Consider the following 12,045-nt stretch of genomic DNA (forward strand, 5'->3'; position numbering starts at 1 on the left):
CAAGATTGCTTTGTTTCCACACTGCTAAGTCTCTCTTCCTGCAAAGGATATTCGTATAGGGGTAATGCTAGTGGCTGGGGCTTTTCTTGGGTCTGACACAGTCTAGGGGCCCAGGAAGCAGGGGGAATCCATGAAGATAGCGGGACAGTGCCCCCATCTTGAGCACCCCACCCCTGCCCCCCTCCACCCACGGGAAGATGGGGGTCGCATCCCAGGCTGAGATCCACTCTCTCCTTTTTCCCTTGGAGGATACTTCAATCCTGCCTCACGGTCATCTATTTCATTTTACCCACTGGGGAAGGGCTTCTCGATATTTTACTTCAAGCTTTCCTGCTGACAAAGAGGCATCTATCTATCTTCCTTTTCAGACAGGGGAAGGAAAGAGGTCTGACCCGGATCTCATCCTGCTTCTGAAGCCTATTAAAAATGCCTCCAGTTAAGATGACATATTTAAAGGAAAAAAAAAATGTTGTCCCTGGCCGGGTGCTGTGGCTCACGCCTGTAATCCTAGCACTTTGGGAGGCCGAGATGGGTGGATTGCCTGAGCTCAGGAGTTCGATACCAGCCTGGGCAACACAGTGAAACCCGGTCTCTACTAAAATAAAAAAAAAAATTAGCTGGACGAGGTGGCGTGTGCCTGTAATCCCAGTTACTTGGGAGGCTGAGGCAGGAGAATTGCTTGAAACAGGGAGGCGGAGGTTGCAGTGAGCCAAGATTGTGCCATTGCACTCCAGCCTGGGTGACAGAGCAAGACTCCAACTCAAAAAAAAAAAAAAAAAGTCATCCCCCCACATTCAGTCTAGTCACATTCCTCCCTGGTCAGAGAAGCTCCCAGTTCCCATCCTGCTTCCTCCCCCATGTGCTTCTCGCCTTCTCTCCTCCCGCTCCCCTCCCATTCCCATCCCCTGTGGAATGGTGGAATGCAGGGAACCTCCTGTTCCTGCTGACACCCTCTCCTCGAACTCTAGGCTGCTGGTGGGGGGTGTGCAGGAAGACCAGTTTTTCCAGCCCTGAGACCAAGGAGAGACCTGCCTGCCCCCAGGGGCTCTTCCAAGCCCAGTCAGAAGGCAACCTGGGCCTCTGAGGAATGCGGCAGATCCAGCTCTTGCTGCCACAACGCCAACAGAGTGAGGTCGGAGGTGGCCAGAGTCCAGGGCCAGCAGGGTCCAAGGACGTCCCCTCCCACTCAGGCCAGGAACCAATGCCAGCAGCATCTACCCCCTTCTGGTCCCCTCCCCTACTTGTTCAGAGGCTCTGGGACCTTTCAGATCCACCTGACTTGGCCAGGCCACCCCTTCTTCCCTTTGTGGTAGTGATGGGGGGTCTTCAGGTTGGCATGCTCTGCTCTTCCATACTTCCTTCTCCAACCAGCACCCTCTCCTCCTCCTCCTCCCTTCCTGTCCCGCCTGACGTCTGCCTCCAGGAGGCCTTCTCAGATTGAGGGGTCACTGTGCCCTCCAGATTGTAGGCATCCCAGGATCAGTGCCCCTGCCTATTTCAGTCACTGCCATATGCCTAGGGCCTGGCACACATCCTGGCCTGGTCATGTCCAGTAAGTTACACCCACATACCTGCCAGAGCACTGAACTGGATGTGTGGAGATGAATACATCTTGCAGAGGCATGGGCTGGCTGAAGAGCCAGGCTCCCTGCATCCCGCACGGATATGGCTCATTGGTACCCTGCTCGTCCCTGCCAGCCCAGGATGTGGAAAGAGACATGGGAGAAACCCTCCTGACTCCCTGTTCCCTATCCTACCTCTGACCCAGGATACACAGAACCACTGCCCTCTGCTCCTTCCCACTGTTCTGGGAGCTCTCTCCTCTGCGAGGCTTTCCTGGAACCTGATTGGCGAAGACCGTTTCTCCTGAGCTCTTTTCTCTGAGACATCACCATAGATGGCTATGAGTCAAGTGCCCCCATCAACCATTCCTGCTCTGCCTGGGGGCTTGGAGTCCCTTCTGATGGACGAATGGGTCAGTCTGAATCTTGGGGTCCCTTTGGGGTAAGTGGGAGGCACAGCAGCCAGTGCAGGGGGAGGAGGAGGGGAGAGGCAAACGCTGGATTCACACAAGGCCAAGACCCACTCAGTTTGCAAGAGTCTAGTCTGGTTCACAGCATATGTGGTTCTCCAGACAAAGTCTCCCCACTAGAGTAATATTAATAACAGTGACACTTGCCACTTATTGAGACTTACTTTATGCCAGGCCTTGTGCTAAGAACTTGACGTGGCATTTCATTTAATCTTCACAACAATCTTATGTGATAGGTACTATTATTGTTCCTGTTTTACAGATGAGCAAACTGAGGCTATTAGCTCAAGATTTGAAGGAGAAAACAGTCTTATTTTATTTTATTTTATTTTTTTAGAGATGGCGTCTCCCTGTGTTGCCCAGGCTGGTCTCAAATTCCTGGGCTCAAGTGATCCTCCTGCCTTGGCCCCTCAAGATGCTAGGATTACAGGTGTCAGCCACCACATCCAGCCCTCAGTCTTTTTTTTTTTTTTTTTTTGCCCAAGTGTCTGGCATGGTCCTGCCCACCCAGTGCTGTGTGTGGGAACCTGCAGATGTTCACCTGACATGTAGTCTGCTTAGAGGGGAGGAGGTCTCCATGTACAGAGGTAGGCCTAGGCCTCCTTGCTCAGCTCCAAGGAGTCTGTAATCCAAAAGAGCTGGCACCAGACTGGAGACTGGCCTACCCTCTGCTCATTTCCTAAGAATTCAGGAGGGTAGGCCGGGTGCGGTGGCTTGCGCCTGTAATCCCAGCACTTTGGGAGGCCAAGGCAGGCAGATCACCTGAGGTCAGGAGTTTGAGACCAGCCTGGCCAACAAGGCAAAACCCCATCTCTATTAAAAATACAAAAATTAGCTGGGCATAGTGGCGCGTGCCTGTAATCCCAGCTACTCGGGAGGCTGAGGCAGGAGAATCGCTTGAACCCAGGAGGCGGAGGTCGCAGTGAGCCGAGATTGCGCCATTGCACTCTAGCCTGGGTGAGAGAGACTCCATCTCAAAAAAAAACAAAAAACAAAAAACAAAAAACAAAAAAAAAACCAGAATTCAGGGGGGAGAAAAAGATAGCAGGAAGAACTTTTGGACGAAGCTCGGTGAAGCCTTTTGTGGGCCTGACATCTAACTCTGTGCCTGCGCAGCCAGGGTGTGTGCGTGTGTGTGTGTGAGCGCGCGTGGGGGTGAACAGGTGTGCACAGGCTCTCGGCACGGGTGGGGGATGGATGGATGAACTGCCCGGCCCTGGATGCCTCGCCTCAGATCCCTGTGTCAGGTCTCTCTCCTGAGCCCTGGGGGAGTCCCTGGTGGGTGGGGCTGCTGTCAGGACTGTGTTGTGATGTTCTGGGCGGGAGGGCGGGTACAGCACAGGCCCTGACCTGGTTGGGCAGGTTGGCCCACCCTGAGTGGCACCTGTGACCAGGCGCCAACCCCACCCACCGCCCTTTGAAGTCATCCAGCCTGGTCCAGCCCCTCTTCTGGGTCACCTCCCTGAAAAGAAATGGGGTCCTCTCAGAAGACAGCTCCTCCTGCCCAGGGCTGGTTCCAGTGGGGGTGGGGCAGGCCTGGCTCCAGGAGGTCCCAGCCCCCTCCCACATCACCAGTCACTTTGGAGCTTTGACCTGGCCTCCGCAGGGATTGGCAGAGGCCCAGGTGAAGGGGGCTGAGTGAGGGGTGGGGACCGGCAAGGGGTTGGAGGGCTGATGGAGGGAGAGGGCTTAAAGAAGCTCAGTGACAGGCAAGGGGTTCCACCAGGGTGGTGGGGACTTGTTGAGGAAGCCCCCTGTCCCTTTCTGAATGGCCCATCGGCAGGAGGTGGCTTGGGGTGTTTTAGTCCCCACCATCTTCACACACACATCCCGCACCCTCACTCCACGCAATGCTCTGTGGCTGGCGTTTCTGTCTTGTGTAAAGTGTTGGGCAATCCCAGCTCTAAGACAGCCCCAGCACCTTCGCTGGATCTTCACCCCTCCTTGGCGGGTGTACAGCCAGCAGCCCCTGTATCTGTCTACGCAGCACAGGCTGGGTTAGCACAAAAAAGCCATCTGACTCCTGGCCTGACTTGGCACTCGCAGAGCCCTGGCCATACCCGGCTCTAAAGCCTAAGTCCGTCTCCTCAGCACAGCTCAGGCCGGAGCTACAGGCTCCTGGATCCTTTCCCCATCCGCCCCGCCCGGCCCTGAGCTGACCTCTAATCCGCAGGGAGCATCCTCCGAAAACCATTAGGCAGCCAGGCCCTCCCCCAGCCAGCTCCGGGCCCGACGCCGGCCCAGCCCAGCAGTGCCGGGCGCCGGGCCCAAGCCGACCCCCTGTTTTGGCTCTGCCGCCTGATTTCTACCGCAGGCAGATATCTTCCGAGACCCCGGGCCCCTAGGCTGGCCTCGCGCCGCTACCCCAGGGCCCCAAATGCCTGAGAGAGGTGGAAGAACTCTTATAACTAGGCTTCTGCCCCGTCACTGCCTACTCTAGTCCCGCCAGTTTTGGGGTAGCCGGGGGACTCGCTGGCCTCCTGTTCCCGCTGGGAGCGGGGCCAGGGTCTCGAGGTAGGGGGGAGGGGGGATGCGGCGTTGCAAGCTCGGGCGTGGCGGCCCCTCCCGGGCTGGGTCCCGCCCCGCCCTGCCCTGTCCTTGAATCCAAGGCGGGCGCAGTGCGATCGCGCTGCCCAGGCCCGCACCCGACCATTCCTCCGTCTCTCTGGCCGCCTCCCTTCTCCATCCAGGCTGGCCTCCTCCTCTTCCTCCAGGAAGCCTGCCCTGAGGGCCACACCTCCTTCCCTCCTCAGGTAGCTCCTGTTTCTGCCCACTGTGGCGTCACCCAAACAACAGAGTCCCAGAGAGAGGGTTTGTGTTCTGGCCTTGGGCAAGCCACTTGACCTGTCCGAGGCGGCTTGCCCAGCTGTAACTGGGGCTATTAACCCCACCTTTCGAGTTAGGGTATTAGAGGAGATTGGCCCAGGGAGTGTTTGGTGATCTTATGATGTAGCCATGAAGGGCAGGGACCTGTCTCTCCCTTCGAACTTGTAGGGACTGCCACCTTCCTTCCTGTGCCCACAGGGTCCTGCCAGGGAGAGGAGAGAGGACCTGGAGTGACCTCTCCGTCTTACAGGCCATGCCAGGCCCAGGAAGTGGGTGTGTCCTCTTCTGTCCTCGCAGGCCAAGAAGAGGAAGGACAACATGGGGATTGGGGGTTAGACTGGGAAGGGGGGTCCTGTGTGCTGGTTCTCCCCAGAACTCTAGGTTGACAGAGCACGAGGTTGGAGTGGGAGAATTCCCAATGAGAGGCAGGAAACTGGCCAAAAAGACCCTTCGAGAGGGCCTCTTTGACCCTCCTCTCCTTATTTAGGGTCCCTGGGGAAAGGAGAACTTTTCCCATTGGTGGTGGTGGGTGTCTCAGCCTCCCTGTCACCGGTTAGCAGCTTTGGATGGTCCTCCCCCAAGTTAGGTCAAGGTGACCATGGAAGTGACGCCTCTCTGATGGTCCAAATCATTCACTCTGAGAGTGGACAAAGAAAATTAAGACTTGACAATTGCTGAGCAGGCTGAAATTTTAGAACACACACAGTGGAGTGAACCATCTTCTAATCAAGATGGAAGACAGAAATGACAATAGGAATATTTATTGCATGAAGCAATATATGTAATTTATGCTGAATTTTGTTTTTCTTCTCATGAAATCTCCGTCTTTTCCAGGCAAGCCTGTTGGTGTATGTTTAATAATAAGTTTCCACTTATCGTTGCTTACCATGTACCAAGGACTGTGCAAAGCACTTTATTTCTTTAGTTTGTTTAGTTTCCACATCTCCACATCTCATTTATTCAAGATTATTTCAAGGAAATATTTATTGAGCATCTACTATGTGCCAGGCATTATTCTAGATATTGGGACTAGAGATATAGGGACACACACATACACACACACACACACACACACGCGTGCGCGCGCGCACACACACACACACACATACACAAAATCAGATTAAATCTCTGCCTTTTTGGGGCTTACATTCTAATGAAGGAGAAAGAAAGGAAAAAAGAAAATAGATATTTAATGTCAGGTAGTGATAAGTGCCCTGAAGGAACCCGAAGCATCATGAAGGGACAGAGAGTGTTTGGGAGGGCCTCCTGGAGGTGGCATTTGAGCAGAGACCTGAATGAAATGAGGGATCAGCCATTTGAATGTTGGGGGCCCAGCAATTCCGCCAAGAGGAACAGTAAGTTTAATGGCCCTGAGATGGGTTTGCTTCACTTGGCACATTGCACAGCAAGAAAGCCAGTGTGTGAGAGCAGAGAGGGCTTAGGTGACTGCCAGTGGCAGAAGGCTTGGTGGGATGTGGGGAGCAGTAGAGAGAAGTCCATGAGGAAGGTACTGTTGTTAAATCCATTTTGCAGATGGGGAAACTGATGTATGGAGCAGTTAAGTGGTAAGTGCAAAGGCTGGATACAAACCAGGTTGCCTACATTAAGCCTGGGCACCTGATCATTTTGTGTGTGTGTGTGTGTGTGTGTGTGTGTGTGTGTGTGTGTATAGTATTTACACAGCACAGGGAAGGGGGCAGGGCTGGGTCTCCTGGCCAGCTCTCCAGAGGCTCTGGTACTTTCAGATTTGTTAAGTGTAATGCAATGAAAATAGAAAGGGCTGGGAGTGGTGGCTCCTGCCTATAATCCCAGCACTTTGGGAGGCTGACGTGGGAGGATCACTTGAGCCCAGGAGTTTGAGACCAGCCTGGACAACACAGGAAGACCCCCCTACCCCACCTCTACAAAAAATTACAAATATTAGTGCGGCATTGTGGTGTGTGCCTGTAGTCCCAGCTGCTTGGGAGGGTGAGGTGGGAGAATTGCTTGAGCCTGGGAGGTTGAGGCTGCAGGGAGCCATGACTGCACCACTGCACTCCAGCCCAAGCAACAGAGTGAGACCCTGTCTGAAAGAGAAAGAGGAAAGAAAGAGAAAGAGGAAAGAAAGAGAAAGAGGAAAAAGAAAGGGGAAAGACAGAGAGAGAGAGAGAGAGATAAAAGAAAGAAGAAAAAGAAAGACTTCTGAACACAGTACAAATCCCCACATTCCCCACATTTGAGTCTCACGTGGGTGGGAACCATCCTTCCTTACTATATGCCCCAGCACCTTGTACAGAGGAGGGCATATAGTAATAGTTTGTGGAATGAATGGAAGACTATTAGTTAAGAAGCAAACAGACTGATGTTCTAGTGAGGCCACCAGTTTCTATGAAGGATATTAAGATTTTTGCTGTGGGAGGGATCCTTAGAAACCTACATTGAACCCCATTGATTTGTGGATGAGGAAACTGGGGCTCAGAGTGACGGCAGATGGCTAATGCTGCTGTGTGGAAGAGTGCTGGGGTGTGCCAGCCTCTTTTTTGACACTCCCCAGAGTTGGAACTGCCAAGAGCTCTTCTCTGGTAGGAGCAAAGGCTCAGATCCACTGGAATTGGGAACAGTGAGGCTTGAAGGAAACCTTGATTATCCCCACTGTGGAAAAATCAGAAACAAATGCGGCATATGGGAGTCAGGGATGGAGAACCTGGTCTCAGATGAAGCTTGTATTAGCAAGGGAAGGGAAGAAATGATGGTCAGGTCAGACCCAAGGAACAGTTACCAGAATCTTCCTCAACACTCTTTCCTACCTTTTGTACTCTGTCCACCCTAGACCTCCTCCTCTCCCTTCTTGTTTTCTCAGCCTGAGCTTCTCAAATGGAGGCATTAATGTGCCCTGAGCATATGGGATGTCCCGGGGGATGACCAAAGCCATTGTATGTCTTTCTGGCATGTCTATTTGACCCAGAGATTTTGTTTTTGAGACAGGATCTCACTCTGTCACCCAGGCTGGAGTGCAGTGGCATGAACATGGTTCACTGCAGCCTCGATCCCCTGGGCTCAAGCAATCCTCCCACCTCAGCCTCCCTAGTAGCTGGAATCACGAGCATGTGCCGCCACGCCTAGCTAATTTTTGTATTTTTTGTAGAGATGGGATTTCCCTATGTTGCCCAGGCTGGTCTCAAACTCCGGACTTCAAGTGATCCTCCTGCCTTGGGCTCCCAAAGTGCTGGGATTACAGGCATGTATTTTTGAAGAAAAAATAATTCAATTAGAATATGTTTTAGAATGTCTGCTTTATAGTAAGCAGATTTGGAGAATATGAAGTGAAATGTGCATGTATATAACATAAAACAGATAAAACAGAGCCTGAAATGAAAGAATTTGTGAGTGAGTTGCTTTGGGTGGCATCTCCCTGCCCAACTTCTCCCTAGCCCCTGCTCTTACAGGAATCCCAGGTGAAACTCTGAGAAATCCTGTTTGCCCATAGCCCACAGGGGTTTTTTCTCCTGTCATTTGGAGACGGGGTCCATGCCAGACTGACTGTAGGGCAGACATAGGTCAGTGGGGAGGAGGAAGGACTGTCAGGAAGGGCCAGAGCCTAGGCAAAGATCCTGGGCCCCACCCTTGGTGACAAGCTGGCAGGGCCCTCCCAGGATGGGAACAAGGTAGGGAGTGTTGGTTTCTAGGTAAAGGTGTTTGGAGCTTGGCACTTCCTGGCGGCGGCGGAAGGGGATGAGTGTGTGTCCACGGGCATTGGGCGGTGGCAGGTTTCAGCAGGAGGAGGCCTGAGCTGCTGGCACGAGCTGGCTCTGGCACCCAATGCTCCGCACCCAAGGCCTGCTGTGGACTCAGTCTGCACGCCATCGGCATGCCATCTGGGAGTGAGAGGCCCAGGCGCCAGCCAGAGGGGTGGCAAGAAAGGAGGGCTGAGGTGGAGGGAGGAGGGAAGTCACTGGTTGAGTGCAGGGCAGGGACACTGGAAGGATCAGTCCTGGAGACAGAGGTGGGAGGGGAGGGTGGTGTCGCCAACCCGGGCTTGGGTGGGGCTAGGCAGGCTCTGAGGGATGTGGAACCTGCCTGAGGTTTCTCTGGTCTTGGAGAGGGTATCCTTTCCTGGGAGAAGGAGCTTACTGAGAAAAGGACTTTCTGATCCCTAAGGTGGAGGGACTGGGGCTGTGAGCATCTCATTCCTCAGCCATTTGAAAATAGGATGGTGTGGGCTGGAGAGAAGGACAACGGACTTTGTCTAACAATACCAACATTCCCCAGACTTTTTTTTTTTTTTTGGTGACAGGGTCTCCCTCTGCTGCCCAGGCTGGAGTGCAGTGGTGCAATTGTGTGATCATAGCTCACTGCAGCCTTAACCTCCTTGGCTCAAGAAATCCTCCTGCTTCAGCTTCCCAAGTAGCTAGGACTACAGGCATGTGTTGCCCTGCCCAGATAATTTTTTAAAATATTTTTTGTAGAGATGGGATCTCACTGTGTTGCCCAGGCTGATCTCCAACTCCTGGCCTCAGGTGATCCTCCCACCTTGACTTCCCAGAGTACTGAAATTATAGGTGCAAGCCAGCACACCTGACCCTGGACTCTTACTTAGTACCAGCCAGTGCTCTAAGAGATTTACTTGGATTAACTCATTTAATCCTCAAAATAAAACCATGAGGTAGGTACTTTCATTATGTCCTATTTTATAGATGAGGACATTGAGACACAGAGGGGTTAAGTCCCTGTTCTATTGGGAATTCAGACACCTGTTCCAGATGGTGCCCAAGAATCTGTAATGGAGTCAGGCAAAGACATAAAGAGAAAGTCCACTCATTCGTTCATTCATTCATTCATTCAACAGGTATTGACTCAACTGGCTTTGTATGCTGGGCACCACTTTGCAAACAGCTTACAGGATGGACTGCAGTCCTCACAACGATCTTCAAAGGTAGAGTTCCCACTTCATAGATGAAGAAACTGAGGCTCACAGAGGTTATATAGTAGCTCAGGGTTATGTAATAGTAGGTTGTGGTCACAGAGCAAGTAAGTGGCAGAACTAGAATTCATACCCCGGTTGTTGTGAGTCTTTGGGCCTAGGAAGAGCCCTTCTTGTTAGTGAAGAGAAGCCCACACATCAACTAGGAATTGTGCCAGAAAATGGAAGGTAGAGAGTGTTTCTAAGAGAAATCCAGGGACTTTCCTGCATTCCTCCCTTCCAAATATCTGTGCTCAGCTCTCTGGAAGCCAGGTCTACAACCTTGCTGGGAGGGAGCACTCTGCTTAGCCAGGGAAAACCAGAAAGGAGAAGAGGCAAGTACCTTGACCCAGGGAGGCAAGTGCCAGTGGGAGGAGTAGGGATTATTATTCATTTGAGACAGGGTTTTGCCCTGTTGCCCAGGCTGGAGTGCAGTGGCAGGATCATGGTTCATTGCAGCCTCAACCTCTCAGGCTCAAGTGATCCTCCCACCTCAGCCCCCCAAGTAGCTAGGACCACAGGTGTGCACCACCACACTTGGCTAATTTTTTTATTTTGTAGAAATGGGGTCTCCCTATTTTGCCCAGGTTGGTCTCAAACTCCTGGGCTCAAGCGATCCTCCTGCCTTAGCCTCCCGAGGTGCTGGGATTACAGTTATAAGCCACTGTGCCTGGTGGGATTATTTAAAAAAAAAAAATCAACTTGTTGGTAGAGCAGGATGACGTCTATTCAGCACTTTGCTCCTTCTTCCCCTCCGCCTCTTCTTCCCCAGGATGCCCTGGACTTCCCCCGCAGGGCTTGGTTGCCTCTGCCCTCCATCTCTCGAGCCCCTTGCCTCCAGCTCTGTCCTGCTTCTCCCTCCAGGAGCAGGCCCCACCTGGTCCCACAGGTTATCACACCACACCAGGTGCCTTCCCTGCCTTCTCAGAACCCACCCAGTGGCTCATCTCCCCCTCAGGGCTGGCCCCACCCTCCACGGGGTTCCTGGAGTGGAATTTCCCCTAAGGGAGGAGTTGCTGATTGCAACAGGATTGGGCCTTGGGTGGGTTTGAGATTTGGGGTGAAAGGTGACCTGGGAAAGTTCATAAGGCCATCCCCAGGGGGAGGAATGGCTTAGCCCTGAGGTAAGAGAGAGAAAGAATGGGGAAGGGGACATGGGATTGGGAGGTGTTTTTTTCCGCAGAGCTAGCCAGGTTGGGGCACCCGGATGCCCTTCACCTTCTCCCCAGCCCTCAGGCAGGAACTGGGGCCCTCATCGACCTACTCTTTGGCTGGGCACTGGGGCTCCTGCCTCAGGCCCTAAGGCTTGATAGCCCTCTTCTACTTCTCTTTCAGCGAAATCCCTCCCTCCCCAAGAGGGAAACCAAGGGGAATTTCACACTACCCCTTTCTAGACCACAGAACCTCAGAATTCCCTACCCAACAGCCCCGAGCCCGCTGTCAGGGTCCGCGCCAGTTTTCCCTTCACTCTATCTTCCACTGAAACTCTTAGGCCCCAGGGTGACTGTTGGGGTGAGGCGTGAGATAGGGGAATTGAGGTTGTGTGGGAAGGATGGACCATGGATGGTGGGCTAGGACACCCAGCTGCACGTGCATGAGTGCATCTATCTGGTATAGGACATAGAAGACAGGGTTACAGAGCCTGGGGACCTCCGTGCATGCTCTCGCCCTGGCTGACTCGCCATCAGCACTCCTGTCCCACCTCCTGGAACCCCCAAACCCCAGGAGATGCACATCTCCATATTGCCTCTTGATCAGCCGTGGAGAGAGAGGCCCTAGGGAAGGGGAAGGTGAGAGGCAATTCTTCTCCAAGTCCCACTGGCAGGCCTCCTGTGACAGTCCCAGCTTTTAAGACTCTTTCTGGAGCAAGCATTGAAGGGGTGAGTTTGGCTTGCAGTTGGAGAGGTGGGGTACAGGCTCTCTTTTGCCTTCTTTTACCAGCACGCTCGGAGTTGTGGCCCTACGGGGACCCGGTGAATTCAGCTGCCTGTATGAGGTGATGTTGTTTTGCCTTAAATGGTCCCCTAGCCTCTCCCAAAGACCCCTCCTTACTCTTCCCAAGAATGTCCCAATTCCTTTCCCACTTGTGCCACTCATTTTCAAGAGAGGAGATGGCCCAGCCCTCTTCTCTTCCCCACCTCCCTCCCCCAAACTGTGTGACCCTCAGCACCCAGGGCTCAGGGGGCTGCCAGAGATGGAGAGGAGGCAAACCCAAGCCAGCTCCTGGGGTCCTACAGGGAGGGAGGGC

At 53.2% G+C, this 12,045-nt stretch overlaps 2 annotated features.

Moving 5' to 3' along the window:
- Positions 3,423-4,260: an enhancer, noted in NCBI's record as "H3K4me1 hESC enhancer chr17:47967128-47967965 (GRCh37/hg19 assembly coordinates)". NCBI's record gives its function as "activates a minimal SCP1, AML or CMV promoter by ChIP-STARR-seq in naive H9 embryonic stem cells {active_cell/tissue: H9 hESC(naive)}" and the evidence as "EXISTENCE:reporter gene assay evidence [ECO:0000049][PMID:30033119]".
- Positions 4,261-5,097: an enhancer, noted in NCBI's record as "H3K4me1 hESC enhancer chr17:47967966-47968802 (GRCh37/hg19 assembly coordinates)". NCBI's record gives its function as "activates a minimal SCP1, AML or CMV promoter by ChIP-STARR-seq in primed H9 embryonic stem cells {active_cell/tissue: H9 hESC(primed)}" and the evidence as "EXISTENCE:reporter gene assay evidence [ECO:0000049][PMID:30033119]".

The sequence above is a fragment of the Homo sapiens genome, chromosome 17, assembly GCF_000001405.40.
Source record: "Homo sapiens chromosome 17, GRCh38.p14 Primary Assembly".
Lineage (NCBI taxonomy): Eukaryota > Metazoa > Chordata > Mammalia > Primates > Hominidae > Homo > Homo sapiens.